At 34.2% G+C, this 21,253-nt stretch overlaps 1 long non-coding RNA gene across 1 annotated transcript in view, besides 1 other annotated feature; it reads left to right on the plus strand.

Annotated features, from left to right (window-relative positions):
• The window catches only part of LOC124901804 (uncharacterized), a 60,358-nt gene that overhangs the window by 23,798 nt on the left and 15,307 nt on the right, over window positions 1–21,253 (plus strand). The window lies entirely within an intron of this gene.
• Window positions 16,467–16,576: an enhancer, noted in NCBI's record as "active region_25988". NCBI's record gives its function as "activates an Ori minimal core promoter by ATAC-STARR-seq in GM12878 lymphoblastoid cells {active_cell/tissue: GM12878}" and the evidence as "EXISTENCE:reporter gene assay evidence [ECO:0000049][PMID:35858748]".

Genomic DNA, 21,253 nt, shown 5'->3' on the forward strand with positions numbered 1-21,253 from the left:
GCTGGAAAAATAAACAAAATTAAAATTATGAATATGTTTATGAAAAACACAAGACAGTTCAAAGAAAACCCTCTGATTAGAGGAATTATTTGTAACACATAGTCTTTGAAATTGTTTTAGTAGCTATTTAGAAACACTACAAGCATATTTATATACTTTATGATTTTATAATGAAAGAATTTAGGGATATTAATTCACTCACAAGTACCCAGCATAATTTTATTTATTTTAATATTTTCTAGAGAGTCTACGAATAGAGACACTATTTCCTCTCTGACAATATTCTTATGGTTGTGTTTATTGATTTCTAAGTAATTCATAATTTCAACTATTTGCTGTATATTTCTAAATACACTTCTAGTTGTATTCATTTTGTTAAACAAGATATCCAGTACAATTATTGTTCTTCAAAATTAATAAGGTTACCTTTGGAGAACTATTACATAATGCAGTTGTCATATATTTATTGTATTTGCCTTAAAAGGAAATTTTACAGCATCTTATTAGCTAACCAAAATTTTTTAAATTAATTATACAAATTTTATAAATTATATATAGTTATTAATAATCATTCAATTTTCTCTTCAAGTCCTCTATATTGCTGTATTTCTGTTTCTTTCCTCTGGCAAAAGTCTATAAATTACAATGTTTGGGACCCAAATGTTCTGGATTTTTATAACTTTTTGTGATAATTTTTGGCTTATTAAAAATAAACTGTTTCTACAATTTCATGCTTGCTGTCTTCTAATTTTATTTTGTCTCATTTAATTTTCTTTCTTTATGTTTCCAGAACTCACTTCTTTCATGGGGAATTCTGTTCCGCCATTCTACACATTTATTTGTTAGGAAACAATTCTTCTTAGGTCTCCGGTGTTTCTGCACATCATGTACCAGCTTTTGTTCCAGAATGTCTTTGCAAAGATGTTTGGGTAGCATATATCTTTGAAGACAGAAATAGTGTTTCCCTTCAGAATAGAGGGCAAATTTGTTTGCCTTTCAAGATACTTAAAATTTCTTTCTCCAGGACAAATTCTGGGTAGGTGTGCTTGCACTTCCTTTAAGAATTGGCTTTGCCCAAGCCTGGGGATCATCGTACATGATGTACACCCAGTGTGTGTGCAGCAACCTTCGGAGCTTTGGTGCCAAAGGGAACTGATACAAATATGAATCTCAGAAAATTCCATTCACAGTGGCTTCAAAAATAATGAAAGATTTAGAAATACATTTAGCAAAAGAAATACAAAACTAATAATATGAAAACTACAAAATGTTGTTAACAGAAAATAAAGATGATCTAAATAAATGCAAAAACATCGTACGTTCAGAAATTGAAGACTTAATATTTTTAAATGGCAAAAAATCACTAAGCCGATCTACAGATTTACCACCGATGCTGTCAGAATTCCAGCTTTCTTTCTTGTAGAAATTGACAAGCTGATTCTAAAATTCATACAGAATTGCAAAGGACTCAGAACAGCCAAAATAATCCTGTAAAAAGAAGAATAAAATAGGAGACATAAGTGGAAGAGCTAAAACTTTAAAATGCTTGGGACAAAAACATGGGCATAAATATTTATGATCTTGGATTTGGCACTGGATATACCTAGATATGACATGAAAGGTCCAAGAGATGAAAGAAAGAAGAGAAAAGATAAATTTGACTTCATCAAAATTTTAGAAATTGTTCATCAAAAGATCTTAAGATCATCTTAATGATGCTGGTGTAGGCAAGATTTATATTAATGTAATATAATATATAATATTATATATAATATAGATATATTACATTAATATAAATCTTGCCTACACCAGCATCATTAAGATGATCTTAAGATCTTTTGATGAACAATATTTAATATTATATATATTATATATAATATATTATATAATATAGATATGTATTATATCTATATATAGATTTAAGTTATGTAATTCAATAAATGTAATATGTAGATTTTTGCCAGAGGAAAGAAACAGAAATACAACAATACAGATGACTTGAAAAGAAAATTGAATAACTATGAATAAATATATATAATAATTTATAAACTGTATAACTAATATAATAAATGTTGATTAGCTAATTAAACTACCATAATAGTTTCTTTTAAGGCAAGAAAGTGATTCTTCAAGATCCTTCAAGTGATCCTATCTCCATCAAGAAAATGAAAACACAAACCACGGAATGGTAGAAAATATTTGTTAATCATATATCTAAGAAACTTGTGTCTAGAATACATAAGGAACACTTACAAGTCAATAATAAAAAAAAGCCCCATTTAAAAATGAGCAAAATACTTTAGCCATTTCTCAAATGAAAATAAACAAAAGATGGTCAACATCACTAGTTTTGAGGGAAATACTAAAAAACAAAAACCACAGTGAAATACTATTTCACACCATTAGGATGACTAGGATCAAGAACACAGATCATAACAAGGATTGGTGAGAGCGTGGAGAAATTGGAACCCTTACACACTGTTGGTGGGAATGTAAGTGGTGCAGTCACTTTGGAAAACAGTCCGGCTGTTACTCAAACAATTAAATACAAAGTTACCATATGACCCAGCAATTCAACTCCTAGGTATATAACCAAGATAAATAAAAATTAATATCTATATAAAAGCTACACAAAAATGGTCATTAATCATAGTAGCCAAAAAGTAGAAATAACTCAAATGTCCATTGACAGATATATGGATAAACAAAATGTAATATAGCCATACATTGGAATATTATTTGGACGTAAAAATAAAGTATTAACACATGCTACAATATGGGTGAAACTCAAAAGCATTACGCCAAATGAAAGAAGTTAGTCAAAACTTTTACAAACTATTATTTCATTCACATCGAAGTAAAAAACAGGGAAATCTATAGAGACAAAAAGTAGATTAAATGCTTTCTTAGGGCTAAGGGAAGGGGAATAGACAGTTGGAGGAATGGACATCTAAACGTTTCAGAGATTTTTTTAAGGAAACGAAAATCTAAAATTGACTGTGAAGATGGTTGCACATATCCGTGAATATATTGAAAAATATTCCTTTGTACACTTTAAGTGCGTGAATTATATGGTTTGCAAATTCTGTCTCAATAAATCTATTTTTACAAAACATAAAGCTCAGGCTGCATGCTGCACCACTAGTAACAATGTCCTTTGTTTTTACTCTGGAAACTTATGTCTTTTGCCAGCATCCATGAGTCTGTGGCAGCCTGACCCTCATAAGTAGGATAAAATCTCAGAGCCTTCACCTTTCTTAATAATATTTCCTTAAGAAATTTTCAACATTTCAACACTTCTGCCTTCTCTGAGCGGAATCATCTTGGGTGGAAACCTGGCTGGAGTCAGGACAGTGAACTTTCCCTGTACTCTGGAGCTTAAGCCTGTGCTAAAGCTGTACGATGTAAATTTAGAAACTTTCAGGGGCTACATTTAACTGATTGTGGAATAAAAATTAGTTTTTAATGAGAAAGAAGAGAGCTAAAAGAAAATAATCAATATTGTAGTGTTCCTGAAGTCCAGTCTGAACCTGGCCCTTCCTATCTATGGCTTGGCTGTTCCATGGAAATACCCCACATTCTTCCAATAACTACATATTTTTGCTTCATGTAACTACTAAAAGAACCTGTACTATTTTAATTTTAAGCAATTATTTTAAATTAAGTGAAAAAAATTACATATCCTTTTCTTCATCATCATCCTATACTTTGCCAAGGCATTGCCTTTTTTTAAACATTTTATTTATATGTGTTATTCTAAATGTAATAGTTGTTATTTTGTTCAATTTTATTATCAGAGATATAAATAAAAGGTTTAAAGTCACCTCCACTGTTGTGAATTACCATGGTAGTCTTTCTACAGTATGACTAATTCAATCTTGAACTATTGCTTTGGATGTATTCATCAACATCCAAATAGGTCGAATTACACATTTAAGCCAGCTCTTTGGAAAGAAAAAGCAGACAGCATAATTTTTTAATTATTGTATATTGTCAACACTCTTTATTTTAACATCTAAATCTGCTTTAATTATACAGACATTACCCACATAACATCAGCCATTTGGCACCAAACACTAACTTAATACCCATTTCTGATTAACTGTCAAAAAATAGAATGTGTTGATGACAACCCAAAATCCCCAACCAGTTTCTTAACACAAAGTGAAAGAACTGTGTATAACAAGTCTTCATGTTTAAAATGTAAAAGGCTTAAGAACCTTCTCTTTAGGATCAACAAATTAACAAGGCTATTTACTGTTACCTCATATGTGTTAACAAGGTCTCTCAGTGCCCACAGCGTTAGAGAGACACACACACTGTTAACACCGCAACAAATTTCGCAGCGTTACCCTTGACAATGATGAATTAACACTTGCACTTGGAATGAAATGTAAGATGATTTTTTTCCTTCACTTTGTTTTGTTAAAAACATCATATAGAGTGGTAGGGCAGTAATCATACATTTTTCAAAATGTACTTCTCAAAGATGATGTATTATAAATCATGTGCATTTTATGTAGAACAGAGATTAAAAACAAGGACTATAGTGCCCGGAAATAACTAGAGAGACTTATTGCAATATATGCCTTCATTATCTGGGCACAATAATTTCTCTTCCAACTTTTGAATGTACATTTTCTAACTTTGGTTCGATGATGTCATGTATAAGCCAACTTCATTTTTATACCTCTGTAAATAACCTGTAGGATTTTGACCTGAATGGAAATTGGCTATATCTGGAGATTGTTTTTAATAAAAAATCACATGAAAACATATACTAATGCTTTTAATAATCTTTTTTGAGCATCTCCTCTCTGCCAGATACTAGACAAGGATGCAGTGGCCCTCAGAGGCCCAATAATTATATGATTATCACTGATTAGTTGGTTGTTTTGTGTTTGTTTGTTTGTGGGTTGTCAGGGTGATTTTTCTTTGCATGTTAATCAGTATCTTAGTACAGACTCTTAGAAAAAAATTTTCTTTCATGTATTTTGTAGTACAAAGAGTTAAAGATCTAGACTCAAAAGATGAAAGTATAGGCCAGTTTTTCCACCTTTTCTTTGAGAGACCTTAGCTATTGCATATTATGGTCTGAGACTCAGTTTACAAATGTAAAATGAGGACAATAGAGATACTCAAATGGCTAAAGAAATAAAACATATACAACAGTGAATATTTAAAGGAAGAGCATAATGCAATGGATAGAGATTAAGCCTTGGAATCTGACAAAATGCACACTTGATTCTCCATTAATGAATGTGTGCAATATTTTTGGCCTTTTATGAGCCTCATTTTCCTCACCTGTAAAATAAGCCTACTTTGCAGAGTTGCAGTGACGATACAGAGAATGAGATACCATTTCCTTTACCCAGTAAACTGGCACCTAGAAATTTCAATGTATGCATTAGCAGTCCACATTATCTTCATTTTTGTTAAGGTGAAAGTTTTAATTTATATAATATACTACCCAAATGTTAGAGATCAATGTGGACATAATAACAAATAAAATTTAAAATGTTTCTGGGCTAAAATTTTTCCTTAATGCTTAAGTGTGAGTATGAGTGTGTGTGCATGTGTGTGGTACCTCTCCAGGGCCTCATTGTCTACTGCTGTTGTTTGGGAAAAAAATAAAAATAAAAAAAATACAAAACAACCAAGGGAAGTGGGTTATAGAGTGACGCGCAATTATATATTATCAGGAAAATACACTTTTAAAAAACATAGTAATTAGAAGAGTAACATTAAGTCGGATGTTATGGAGACCATTACAATCTATTTTCCATATAACTCTCAAATGAACAATGATGAGCTTGGGTTTGAGAGGAAAGCAATTTGGTTCTCACTGGGTCCTGCCTAACTGAGCTGTTGAAATGACTCACTATGTCTCTGTCAGGGTGCTTTATTTGTAGGTCATGCTGGCCTAAGATAACATACACAGTTACTGGCTATTCACAAAGAGAAATTTGGCCTTTTTGTGTCATTGAGGACATTGTATCTGCATTTGAGGATACTGAGCCTCAAATAATTTAGATAACTAGATCAAATTGGGTTGCAAAGTGTTGATTCCCATGCAAAAGTCCATATTCCCAAGACATTGTCAGGAAATAAGTGATGTTTCTAATGCTTTAATTCATTGGAAACCAAGGCATTAGCTCCATGAGGCTACTTTCAACTTCTCTTTTTGTTTTAACATAAGCCTTAATTCAAAATTTTGTAAATGCCCCATGGAAAGGTCAATAAAAAAGGATCAGGATTTGTTTCAGTTAAATCAAAGATGCCTATCTATTCTCATTCAATTTGAATTAACACATAGTTATTAGGAAATAAGAAAAAGTGATGAATAAATTTACTTGGGAGAAATTTGACTACTTTTAAATCAAAACTATTTCAAAATATTATAATTAATATTAACCTTCTATGGCATATTTTCTATAGTTTTACATTTTCAAATAAAAAGTTCAGCATTTGGATTTCTATCACTGAAATTCGTTTCTATAGAAAGTACTATTTCAAAATTTGACTTAATTTAAAACATAAAATTATGGTTAAAAATGAATACTTGAATCCTTCAGTTTCTGGAAATCCACCTATGTGTCATTATTACATTTTTAATTTATTTTTCTGAAACAAGAAAATGAAAGCATAACCATGACTGGGAATATTTGAATAAGAAGATAAAAGTCCAGCAATCAAATACATTTTTAGTATTTCATGTTTCTTACAGTATTTTTACATTCTATTCACTCTACCCATTTTTAAAGTTTCAATTAAAATGTAGATATGGCCGGGCACAGTGGCTCACACCTGTAATCCCAGCACTTTGGGAGGCCAAGACGGGTAGATCACCTGAGGTCAAGTGTTCAAGACCACACTGGCCAACATGGTGAAAGCCCATCTCTACTAAACACACACACACACACACACACACACACACACACACACGCCAATTAGCTGGGTGTGGCGGCGGGCACCTGTAATCCCAGCTACTTGGCAGTCTGAGGTAGGAGAATTGCTTGAACCCAGGAGGCGGAGGTTGCAGTGACCCGAGGTCGCGCCATTGCACTCCAGCCTGGGCTATGGAGCAAGACTGTCTCAAAAAAAAAAAAAAAGTAGATAGGACAGCATGCTGCCATCCCAGGGAACAGGAGAAACAATAAACACAGTAGTAGTAATGCAGCAGTAATGTGTTTGAAGGGCCAAGAGGAGAAAACTTTCCATCCAGACTTTTCTGTTTTGCAAAACTCTGTTAAATCCTAACTCTATCTAGGGATTTAACCATGCAGTGGAGGTTGTGCTGCAGAAGGAATCACCCTATCTCTTAAAAATGGAAAGCTTTATATCTAAGCCTATGCCAAGAAAATATAATAGGAGAACATTTTAAATTAGTTTGTGAAAGTCAAAAGATTGTCTAATATTTGCACAGCAAATAATTTTTACCAAACAATTTTACATACATTTCTTACAATAATTATTTGATGATATTATGATTGCCTACATTTAACAGTTGAGACGTTGTATCTGCATTTAAGGATACTGAGCCTCAAATAATTTAGATAATTAGATCAAATTGGGTTACAAAGTGTAGACTGTCATGCAAAAGTCCATATTCCCAAGACACTGGGCTCTCACTTCCACATTTTCTAAGGATATATGAAATATATGAAGTTCCCTATGTCTTCCTGATTTTGTCCGTTAAAGATAATTTCAAATGGCCTTAATTTCTAGACTAATAAACTGTTTTTTTCTGTTATGAATATATGCTTCTCTCTGTATTATTTTAATTTTCATCACCATGGAAAGTGTCTACCTGAAGCTGACAAACACATATTTAGTACAGACAAAAGGTTAAGGAAAAATAAATCCATTCTTAAGGTCAAGATTACAAAGAATATAAAACTTAAGAACAGAGCAGGTATCAGAGATGTTTCATTTGTAAATAAATAAATGACATGAAACTTAAACATTTTTAAAATGGAATCAATTGTTCAGAATATACTCAATAAAAATGATAGTACAGAATAAAGTGGTACTCCAAAGGGTTTATTGATAATAGCTTTTTTAGACCATAGGATTAGATTTGTAACAAGCCAATTAAAAGAAAAGTGTGAAATTAGATAAATGCCATGATCTATATGGCAAAGTAATTTGCATTTGGGCTGAAGTTTTAATAGAACATAAAAACACAGAACTATACAAATGATATGTTCTATGAGTGGGACACAGAAGTACTTTCAAAGAATCATTACCTCACAGGCAAAAATTATACAAGGAAAAAGATTAATAGGTGTGAACTATTTTGTGTTTAAAGTTGCAAACACGCTGTGTCTAAAAGTTCACCAAACACAAAATTTAAAAATAAAAAATTGAAAGATATTTTCAAATAAGTATTAAGTATTCCTTATAAAACACTCTTACAAAAGAGTGTTAAAGTTAGCTCAATAGAAAATGAGCAAAGACTTTGAACAGATAATGTGCAAAGAAGAAAACAAAGAAAATCAGGTTATGTAATGTTCATTAAAAATTAAAGAAAAGCATGATCAAGCTGAGAACCAAATCAAGAAGTTAATCTCATTTACAATAGCTACAAAAAAATAAATAAAATGCCTAGGAGTCCATTTAATCAAGGAGGTGAAAATCGCTACAAGCAAAACTACAAAACCCTGATGAAAGAAAGTGTTGATGACACAAGCAAATGGAAAAATTCCATGCTCATGAATTAGAAGAATTAATATTATTAAAACGACCATCCTGCCCAAATCAATCTACAGATTCAATGCAATTCTGACCAAAATACCAACATCATTTTTTACAAATCCTAAAATTCATATAAAACAAACAAACAAACAAAAAAAGCCTGAATAGCCAAAGCAATCCCAAACAAAAATAACACAGTTGGAAGCATCACATTACCTGACTTCAAATTATACTACATGGCTACAATGACCTAAATAGCATGATATTAGTATAAACACAGACACATAAGTCAATGGAACAGAATAGAGAACCCAGATATAGAACCACATACCTGCAGTCGACTTATCTTTGACAAAGTTAACAAAAACATACATTAGGGAATGGACACCCTATTAAATAAAGTGTGCTGGAAAAATTGGATTGCCACATGCACAAGAATGAAATTGGACTCATCTCTCACCAGATCCAAAAATTAACTCAAGATACATTAAAGACTTAAAAGTAAGGCCTGAAACTATAAAAGTACTAAAAGAAAATCTAGGAAAAAAGCTTTCCTGGACATTGACCTTGGCAAATAATAAATGATTAATACCTCAAAAGCAAATGCAACAAAAACATAGACAAATGGGACTTAATTAAACTAAAATATCTGCACAACAATAGAAATAATCAACCAAGTGAACAGACAACCTGCAGAATGGTAAAAATATTTGCAAACTATGCATCCAACAAAAGACTAATATCCAAAATCTACAAGGAACTCAAACATCTCAATAATAACCAAAAAACACTGCAAATAACCCTATTAAAAAGTGGGCAAAGGACAAGGACAGACATTTTAGAAAAGAAGACATAGAAATGGCCGACAAGCATATGAAAAACATCACTAATCACCAGAGAAAGGTACGCTAAAACCACAGTGAGATACCATCCTACACAAGTCAGAATGGCTTTCATAAAAAATTCAAAAAGCAATAGATGTTGGCAAGGATACAGACATAACAGTGTGCTTATATCCTATTGGTGTGAATATAAATTAATAAACCTCTGTGGAAAATGTGTGGACATTTGTCAAAGAGCTAAAAATAGAACTCCTATTCAATTCAGCAATCCCACTACCAGTAATCTACTCAAAGGAAAAGAAATCATTATACCCCCAAAATACCTGAACTTGTATGTTTAGTAGAGTGTTATTCACAAGAGAAAATGTATGGAATGAACCTGTGCCCATTGATAGATGATTGGATAAAGAAAATGTGGTATGTGTATATAAGTATACTATAGAATATATGCTATGTATATATTTTAATGTGCATATATACATTAGAATATATATATATACACACATACCACAGAATACTACCCAGTCATAAAAAGAATGATATCTATATCTTTTGCAGCAACATGGATGAAACTAGAGGCCATTATCATAGGTGAAATTATTCAGAAGCATAAAGCCAAATACCACATGCTCTCACTTACAGGTGTGAGCTAAACAATGAGCACACATGGAATAGAAAGTGGAATAATAGAAAATGGATACTCAGAAAGGTGGCAGGAGTTGGAGGGGGGTGAGAGATGAGAAATAACTTGATGGGTACAATATACACTATTAGGGAGATAGTTACACCACTATGCTACCTATCTATGTAACAAAACCGCACTTGTACCCCTTAAATAAATAATTAAAAAGAAAAGTGTCTGTTCATATCCTTTGCCCACTTTTTGATCGGTTGTTTGTTTTTTTCTTGTAAGTTTGTTTGAGTTCTTTGTAGATTCTGGATATTAGCCCTTTGTCAGATGAGTAGATTGCAAAAATTTTCTCCCATTCTGTAGGTTGCCTGTTCACTCTGATGGTAGTTTCCTTTGCTGTGCAGAAGCTCTTTAGTTTAATTAGATCCCATTTGTCAATTTTGGCTTTTGTTGCCATTGCTTTTGGTGTTTTACAAATGAAGTCCTTGCCCATGCCTATGTCCTGAATGGTATTGCCTAGATTTTCTTCTAGGGTTTCTATGGTTTTAGGTCTAACATGTAAGTCTTTAATCCATCTTGAATTAATTTTTGTATAAGGTGGAAGGAATGGATCCAGTTTCAGCTTTCTACATATGGCTAGCCAGTTTTCCCAGCACCATTTATTAAATAGGGAATCCTTTACCCATTTCTTGTTTTTGTCAGGTTTGTCAAAGATCTTGTTTTTGTCAGGTTTTGTTTGGTTGTAGATGTGTGGTATTATTTCTGAGGGCTCTGTTCTGTTCCATTGGTCTATATCTCTGTTTTGGTACCAGTACCATGCTGCTTTGGTTACTGTAGCCTTGTAGTATAGTTTGAAGTCAGGTAGCGTGATGCCTCCGGCTTTGTTCTTTTGGCTTAGGATTGTCTTGGCAATGCCAGCTCTTTTTTGGTTCCATATGAACTTTAAAGTAGTTTTTTCCACTTCTGTGAAGAAAGTCATTGCTAGCTTGATGAGGATGGCATTGAATCTATAAATTACCTTGGGCAGTATGGCCATTTTCACAATACTGATTCTTCCTATCTGTGAGCATGGAATGTTCTTCCATTTGTTTGTGTCCTCTTTTATTTCATTGAGCAGTGGTTTGTAGTTCTCCTTGAAGAATTCCTTCACACCCCCTTGTAAGTTGGATTCCTAGGTATTTTATTCTCTTTGAAGCAATTGTGAATGGGAATTCATTCATGATTTGGCTCTCTGTTTGTCTGTTATTGGTGTATAAGAATGCTTGTGATTTTTGTACATTGATTTTGTATCCTGAGACTTTGCTGAAGTTGCTTATCAGCTTAAGCAGATTTTGGGCTGAGACGATGGGGTTTTCTAAATGTACAATCATGTCATCTGCAAACAGGGACAATTTGACTTCCTCTTTTCCTAATTGAATACCTTTTATTTCCTTCTCCTGCCTAATTGCCCTGGCCAGAACTTCCAACACTATGTTGAATGGCACTGGCCATCAGAGAAATGCAAATCAAAACAACAACGAGATACCATCTCACACCAGCTAGAAAGGTGATCATTAAAAAGTCAGGAAACAACAGGTGCTAGAGAGGATGTGGAGAAATAGGTACACTTTTATACTGTTGGTGGGACTATAAACTAGTTCAACCATTGTGGAAGACAGTGTGGTGATTCCTCAAGGATCTAGAACTAGAAACACCATTTGACCCAGCCATCCCATTACTGGGTATATACCCAAAGGATTATAAATCATGCTGCTATAAAGACACATGCACATGTATGTTTATTGTGGCACTATTCAGAATAGCAAAGACTTGGAACCAACCCAAATGTCCATCAATGATAGACTGGATTAAGAAAATGTGGCACATATACACATGGAATACTATGCAGCCATAAAAAGGATGAGTTCATGTCCTTTGTAGGGACATGGATGAAGCTGGAAACCATCATTCTCAGCAAACTATCACAAGGACAAAAAAACCAAACACCACATGTTCTCACTCATAGGTGGGAATCGAACAATGAGAACACTAGGACACAGGAAGGGGAACACCACACAACAGGGCCTGTTGTGGGTTGGGGGGGAGGGGGGAGGGATAGCATTAGGAGACATATGTAATGTAAATGATGAGTTAATGGGTGCAGCACACCAACATGGCACATGTATACATATGTAACAAACCTGCACGTTGTGCACATATACCCTAGAATTTAAAGTATAATAAAAAAAAGAAAAAAAATGTTAAAAAAGCAAGTTGAAATAATAAGGAAGGCCATGATGTCCCAAAGACTATTTGTTAAAGGTGACATCACCTAAAATAGCTAGGTAGGGAACTAGAGAACACCACCCCACCACAAAAGCAATAAATAAGTTGGCAAAAACAGAATTAAATATTTTAGAATTCTAGAATCTAATAACAAAACTTACAACAAGCAGGGGAATGTTGAATGAAGAAAGCAGCAGCTGGATTTCGATAAGAGAGCACTGTGGTATCATTCCTTACCCACTTACATCCTCTAATCCCCAGCTTGACAGTTGCCAAGAAGATGGCAGTCAGCACTTTTTTATGCAGGTTGCTCTAACCAGAGGGTGCGTGCAGGACTTAGTTTCAAATAATTGTGTGTTTTGATCTGTCTTGTGGCTCCCTGAGCTATCAGCTCCAGGGATAGCCCTTGTTTTGCCTGCCTCAAAGATTCCCCAGAAAGGAAGTGGTTTGCTTTAGTGGTGTTTGCAGAATGAATTTAAAGGAAAATGAGACAAGAAATGATATACATGGTAAGCAATAGAGAGAATGAAAATATTTGGAAGGAAAAGTCTGGGGAAGGAGGTAGCTGAGAGAGTGGGCTTTAAAATGTAAATTAAAACTACCAAAAGATATCCACTCATACTTGTGAGGATGGCTATTACTAAAAAGTCAAAAGATAACAAGTGTCATTCAGGGTATGAAGAAAAGAGAACCATTGTACACTGTTGTTGGAAATTTAAATTGGTACAGCCATTGAAAACAGTATAGATATTCCTCAAAAAATTAAAAATGGAACTACCACATGATCCAATCCTCTTCTTGGTGTGTAATCAAAGGAAAAAAATAACAGTTTCAAAGAGATATTTGCACTCCCATGTTCATTGCATCGTTACTCACAATAGCCACTCACAAAAAGACCAATAGCCTAAGCATCCATCAACAGATGAATGGATGAAGACAATTATGTATGTGTTATATATTCCTTTACATATATATTATGTGTGTGTATATATATGTATATAAAAATATTACTTAGCCTTGAAAAATAAGAGAGATCCTGCCATTTGTGATAAATGAGTTTACCTTGAGGACATTATGCTAAGTAAAATAAGTCAGATGTAGAAAAGCAAATACTGTATTATCTCAGTTATATAAGAAACATAAAAAGAAAAAATAAATATATAGTATAAGATATTTGAATGGGTGTTATCAGAGGCTGAATGGTTAAGGGGAAAAGGGTATAAAGCAACAGGTATAAAATGAATAAGTACTAAAAACCTAATGCACAATAGGGTGACTATAGTCAATTATAATGTATTCTATACTTGAAATTTGCTAAAACAGTAGATCTCAGGTGTTCTTGTCATACAAACACAAAAAATAGTGACTGTGATCTGGTGTGGTAGATATGTTAATTAGTTTAATTGTATCATTTCAAATGTATACATAAATCAAAACATCACATTTTGCACTCTAAATGTATGTAATTATTACTTGTTAATTATACCCTAATAACGATGTGAGAAAAACACCCATGATACCATGGACCCTTGAAACTCACCTGCATGCTCATCAATGGACACATGCTAGGATTACAGTTATGTGCTACCGATCCCAACCTAAATTTCAACGTGAGATTGGAGGTGACAAATATCCAAACCACATCTTTGATGATACAGCTGGACATTAAAGACATTTCCAAAAATAAAAAACAAAATCACTCTGTTCATTATATTATTTGTTTGGAAGTAATAATTATCTTTCATAAATTCTGTTATTATTTTAACATTTAGTGGGCTTCTGTCATTTAAAATAAGCTAAAAATTTATATCTTAAGGTCTCTAATAAGGTAAATGTTGATAGATACAATCTAAACAAATAAAATGGATCTGTGGATTTTAATAATTTTAAGGACTTTAAAGGAGAATTCAGACCAAAAAGATTAAAAACTGCTGATATAAATTAATTTTCAAGCAAGATCTATTTACAATGTAAGTTTCCTAATTAATGTCCATGGTATACCTCTATTTTTATTTAAATAATGTTTTATGACTTTGAACAATATTTTATCATTTTTCCCAACAGTTGTGTGCTTTTTGAGAGATTTTTTTCTTAATTTTTTTCTGTTTCTGTTACAAACTGTATTTTTTAAATTTTATAATTTCTCTTTGTTACCAATATATAGAAATATAACTGAATTTTATGTACTGCCAATCCAGCAAATGTCCTAAGCTCAATTATAACTTTGACAATGGTCTTTACATTATTTTGGATGTTTGTACATAGGCAAAAATTAAATATTATAGTCAAAAATGACATATTTTTACAACTTTTTGATGCTTATAAATTTATTTCTTACTCTGACATAATTACATTAACTAGGATTTTCAGTAGAATGCTAAGCAAACATATGAGAGTGCCTCACATTGTGCTTTATATTAAAAGAAAGTTTCAAAACCTCTGCATTAATTATGATATTTACTGCAGGCATTTATTCCCAGGTTTATATTGTTAAATGAAGTTAATAAATGCCTTCCTACTTTTTAAAATAATAAGTGAATGCTGAATGTCACCAAATAATTATTCTGCATGATTATAGTCAGGCTTAACTAAGCTATTGCTGTGTTACATATAAAGCCCAAATACCATCGTATTACCAGAATAAATAATTATATCTTATATTGCATCATAATTGGGAACGGGAGAAATGAAAAGTTCTAATAATTCTATTATCTATTAATGATATTTTTGTGTCTTAAATTTAAAACTTCCCCTCAAAGAATATGCCATGGCAAGGCAACTTTACTCATGATCTCCTACAAATTCCTGCCAGAAAAAAAGGAGAGAGGGCCACACAAGATGGCAAAGTAGGCAGAGACAGGAAGTGCTGCTCCCACCAAGAAAGACCAAGTTATCAAGTAAAACAACGTAAATTAGGCATATCTTTAGAGAGAAAACACCAAGTGAATGAAGAGGTGACACTGAGACTGAGAAGGGAGGAAGCTAGGAACCTTCATGGGATACCCAAATGCTAGGGCTAGTTCCTGGACCTGAACAGTTCCTGGGGAAGTGGTGAGTGAGGGGACAGAGGAATAGCCCACTCTCAACATGGACCTCTAGATTCCCAGCTACAGGGCCCCCACACTCCCTATTGACAGCTGAGCTGACGGGGCATCTGCCTGGGGAGTAGGCAGAGACAGGGCTTCAGCTAACATGGGGCACAGCAGCTTTTGTGTGCAGGGCAGCTCTGGTGGAGCATGGTCACTGGTACCCATCCCACAGTGGTCCCCATCTCCCTCTGAGAGGCTCTACCCCTAGCTGATTACCAGGCCAGGAAAAAATGAGGCCAACTTCCCTATGGGACAAAGATGCATCTGTTCTGCAGGGCTTCCTGCCAAACAGCTCCTCCCATGGCCCCTGCCGAGCTGCCCCATAGGAGTTCCTGCACAGTGCAGCATCTGATGCACAATGTAAGTGCTTTGCTTCATCCGAGTACTTTCCCAGCAACCTGGGAGCACTTCGGATATCCCAGAACAGCTGGAGCCCAACCCCAAGCTACAGGCCATCTCAGGGCCCCAGGGCTGCAGTGCACAGCTTGGGAGTGCTGAGCCAAGATTTGTGGCTTGCACTGAAGTGGGATAGGAGCCGCTACTCTCAGAGCACTTAGGGTAGCAAGAAGTGTGTGTTAAGTGGGTGAGCATAGGAGCAGAGTGTACCTCACTCCACAAGTCCAGTCCAGAAAGGATGTAGCCTACCTCCCTGCCACAGCCTTTGCCTGAGGGAGACTTGCAGCCTGGAACGTCTCACGAAAGCAACAGGGATGTGATGCCCATGATTGGGGGATCCCCACATGGCCCAGGAGTCGGTCTGCTAAGAAGGTCCTCTTCCCCCACCCAGGCCATCCTCTGCAGAGCACGCCTGTGAATGTGAAATAATACAAGAGAGCTGTATAGCTTAGTAAGTGCCCATTTATCAGCCATTACTCTTACCCAACTACTGGATTGCAGTCCAAACTACAACACCAAAATTATTCAGCTAAGATGCACAGCTGTGAAACCAAATGCAAGAATTCGCCCACGCATAAAGATACTATACAGAGCCTCTGAAAGCAGCAAGAAATGAAACCAAATGACTACACTCAACTTACATCACAGTTAAAGAAAAACCAGCCCCCTCCCCCAACAATGAGAAAAAATTCAGGGCAAGAACTCTGGCAGTTCAACAAGCCAGAGTATCCCCTAACTTCAAGATGAGCCTACTAAACCAACAGCAATGGTCATTAACCAGACTGGAATGTCTGAAATGACAGGCATAGAATGCAGAATCTGGATGGCAAGAGTGCTCATTGAAATCTGGGAGAAAGGTGAAACACAATCCAAGGAATCCAGTTAAAAAGAATCCAAGAGCTGAAAGATGAAGTAGTAATTCTAAGAAAGAATAAAATTGAACTTCTGGAACTGAAAAATTCACTATAAGAATCTTATAGCACAATTGGAAGTATTAACAGCAGAATAGACCAAACTGAGGAAAGAATCTCAGAGGCCAAAGATCACTTCTTCAAATCAACTCAGACAAACAAAATTTTTTTAAAAAATTAATAATGACTAAAACTTCCAAGAAGTGTGAGAATAAGTATAGAGACCAAACTTATGATTCATTTTCATTCCTGAGACAGGAGAATGAGTAAGGAAATTTGACAATATATTTGAGGATACAGTCCATGAAAAATTTTTCAAATCTTGCCAGAAAGGTTGAAATGCAAATTCAAGAAACACAGAGAATGCCAGCTAGATACTATATTAGATGACCATAACCAAGGCGTGTAGTAATCAGATTGATCAAGATCAATAAGAAAAAAAAATCTTAAAGGTGGCTAAGAGGAGGGTAAGATTACATACAAAGAGAAATGCCTCAGGCTAAAAGCCAACCTCTCAGCTAAACCTTTACAAGCCAGAACAGATTGGAGGCCTATTCAGCATTGTTAAAGAAAATAAATTGTAACCAAGAATTTTGTATCCTTCCAAAACAAGCTTCATGAGTGAAAGAAATAAAAACTTTCTCAGACAAGCAAACACTGAGAGATTCATTAAAACCTGACCAGCCTTACAAGAGGTTCTTAAGGGAGTCTTAAACATGAAATCAAAAGAATGGGATCTGCTATCACAAAAACCTACTAAGCCACATAGCCCACAGACACTATAAAGCAACTGCATAATTAAGTATACATAACAACCAGCATACAACACAATGACAGGATCAAAATCTCACATATCTATACTAACCCTGAAATTAAGTGGACAAAATACCCCACTTAAAATATATAAAGTGGCAATCTAGATCAAAAGATAAAAACCAACATCTACTGTCTTCAAGAGACCTATCTCACATGTAATAACACTCACAGGCTCAAAGTAAAAGGGTGGAAAAACATGAACCGTGAAAACAGATACAAAAAAAAGAGGAGGAGTCACCATTCTCATATTAGATAAAACAGACCTTAAACCAAGAATTATTCAGAAGGACAAAGAAAGGCATTACATAATGATAAAGGGTGTAATTCAGCAAGACTTAACTATCATAAATATATATGCATTCAACATTGGAGCACCTAGATTCATAAAGCAAGTTCTCCTTGACCCATGAAAAGATTTAGATAACCACACAATAATAGTAAAAGATTTCAACATCTCACTGACAACGTTAGGCAGATTATCAAGGCTGAAAACTAACAAAGAAATTCTGGACTTAACACTAGGGGGAAAAAAAGCTAGCAGAAGTAAAGAAATAACTAAAACTAGAGAAGAACTGAACAAAATTGAGGTGCAAAAATCCCCACAAAGAGTAATGAAAGCTTTTTTCAAAAGAATCAACAAGACTGATACACTGCTAGCTAGATTGCCAAAGAAAAAAATAGAAGATCCAATTAAGTTCAATCTGAAATGGCAAAGGTGACATTACAAGCCATCCCACGGAAATAGAAAAGGTTTTCAGAAACAATTATGAACAAATGTATACACTCAAATTAGAAACTTAAATTGGAAAAGCTAAATGGATAAATTCCTGTAAACACACAACTTCCCAAGATTGAGCCAGGAAGAATATCAACCCCCTGAATAGACAAATAACAAGTTCCAAAACTGAATGAATAATTTTAAAAAGCCACCAACTAAAAACAGCCCTGAACCAGATGGATTCACAACCAAATTCCATCAGATGTACGAAGAAGAACTCATACCAATCCTACTGAAACTATTCCAAAAATCAAGTTGAAGGGGTAATTTCCTAACTCATTCTGTGAATCCAGCATCAGCCTGACACCAAACTCTATCAGAGACATAATGAGAAAATTAAACATCTGGCCAATATTCCTAATAAACCTAGACACAATAATCTTCAACAAACTGAATCCAGCAGCACATCAAAAAGGTAATACACCACAGTCAAGAAGGCTTTATTGCTAGAATGCAAAGTTGGTTCAACACACACTAATCAATATAGATGATTTAGCACATAAACAGATTTAAAAGCAAAAATCATATGATAATCTCAATAGACACAGAAAAAGCTTTCAGTAAAATCCAACATAGCATCATGTTAAAAACCCTCAACAGACAAGGTATCAAAGGAACATACCTCAAAATAATAAGAGTCATCTATGACAAACCCACAGCAATATCACAGTAAATGGGCAAAAGCTGGAACCATTTCCCCCTGAGAACTGAAACAAGACAAGAATGCCCTCTTTTACCATTCTTATTCAATATAATACTGGAAGTTCTAGCCAGAGCAAGAGAATCAGACAAGAGAAAGGATTAAAAGCCATTCAAATAGAAAAAGAAGTCAAACTATATCTCTTCATTAATGATATGATTCTATACCTGGAAAACCTTAAAGGCTCTGCCAAAAGATTCCAAGAACTGAAAAAGAATTTTATTACAGTTTCAGGATACAAAATTAATGTACAAAATCAGTAGTATTTCTATACACCAATAATATACTGATAATGTTCAAGATGAGAGTCAAATCAAGAATGCAATCCCATTTGCAATAGCCATAAAATATTGAAATGCTTAAAAATAGTCAACCAAAGAAGTGAAATGTTTCACAGAGACTACAAAACACTGCTGAAAGAAATCAGATACAACACCAATAAATGGAAAAACATTCCATGCTCATGGACTGGAAGAATTAGTATCATTAAAATGACCATACTGCTCAAAGCAATTTATAGATTCAGTGCTATTCCTATTGAACTACCAATGTCATATATCACATAATTAGAAAAAAAAACTATTATTAAATTCATATCGGACCAGAAATGAGCCTGAATAACCAAAACAATTCTAAGCAAAAATTGCAAGCTGAGGGCACCACACTACCCAAACTATACTAAAAGGCTACCATAGCCAAAACAGCGTAGTATCGGTACACAAATTGACACATAGACCAATGTAACAGAATTGGAAACCCAGCAATAAAGCTGTACACCTACAACCATCTTATCTTTGATAAAGCCAATAAAAACAAGCAATAGGGAAAGACTCTCTGTTTAATAAATAATGCCAAAATAACTAGCTAGCCATATGCAGAAAAATGAAATTGGACCCCTACCTTTCACTATATACATAAACTAACTCAACATGCATTAAAGATTTAAATATAACACCTCAAACTGTGAAAATCCTAGAAGAAAACCTAGGAAATACCTTTCTCAACATTATTCTTGAGGAAGAATGTTTGATTAAGTCCCCAAAAGCAATTTCAACAAAAACGAAATTTGAAAAGTAGGACCAAATTAAACTAAAGTGCTTGTGTACAACTAAAGAAACTATCAACACAGTAAACAGACAACCTACAGAATGGGAGAAAATATTTGCAAACTATGCATTTGACAAAGATTTAATATCCAGAACCTATGAGGAACATAATTCAACAAACAAAAAAGCAAGTAACCCCTTTAAAAAATGGTCAAAGGACATGAAAAGACATCCATCAAAAGAAGACATACAAGCAGCCAATAAACATATGAAAAAATGCTCATCATCACTAATCATCAGAGAAATGCAAATCAAAATCACAATGAGATATCTCATGCCACTCAGAGTGACTATTTTTAAAAAATCAAATACTAACAGATGCTGGCAGAGAAAAAGGAATTCTTATACACTGTTCGTGGAAATGTAAATTAGTTCAGCCACTTTTGAAAACCGTTTGGAGATTTCCCAAAGAACTTAAAACAGAGGTGCCATTTGACCCAGTAATCCCATTACTGGGTTTATATCTAAAAGAAAATAAATATTAATAATTCTACCCAAAAGACACATGCACTTGTATGTTCATCACAGCTATTCATAATAGCAAAGACAAGGAATCAACCCAGGTGCCCATCAATGGTGGATTAAATAAAGACAATGTGGTACATATGCACTATAGAATACTACACAGACATAAAAGGAACAAAATTATGTCCTTTGCAGCAACATGGATCCAGCTAGAGACCATAATCATAAGTAATTAACATAGGAACAGAAAACTGAATACTGCATGTTCCCAGAAGTGGGAGCTAAACATTGGGTATGCATGGACATAAAGATGAGAACAATAGACAATGTGGACTAACTGGGGAGTAAGGACTGAAAGACTATCTATTGGGTACTATGCTCACTACCTAAGTTATAGGATGCATGCTCCAAACCTCAGCTACACAATGCACCCATGTAACAAACCTGCATGTGTACTCCCTGTATCTAAAATAAAAGTCAATATTTTTATTATTTTATTTTATTTTCATTTTTATTTATTTGTTTATTAATTTATTTATTTTGAGATAGAGTCTCAC

The sequence above is a fragment of the Homo sapiens genome, chromosome 7 (assembly GCF_000001405.40).
Source record: "Homo sapiens chromosome 7, GRCh38.p14 Primary Assembly".
NCBI classification, from domain to species: Eukaryota; Metazoa; Chordata; class Mammalia; order Primates; family Hominidae; genus Homo; species Homo sapiens.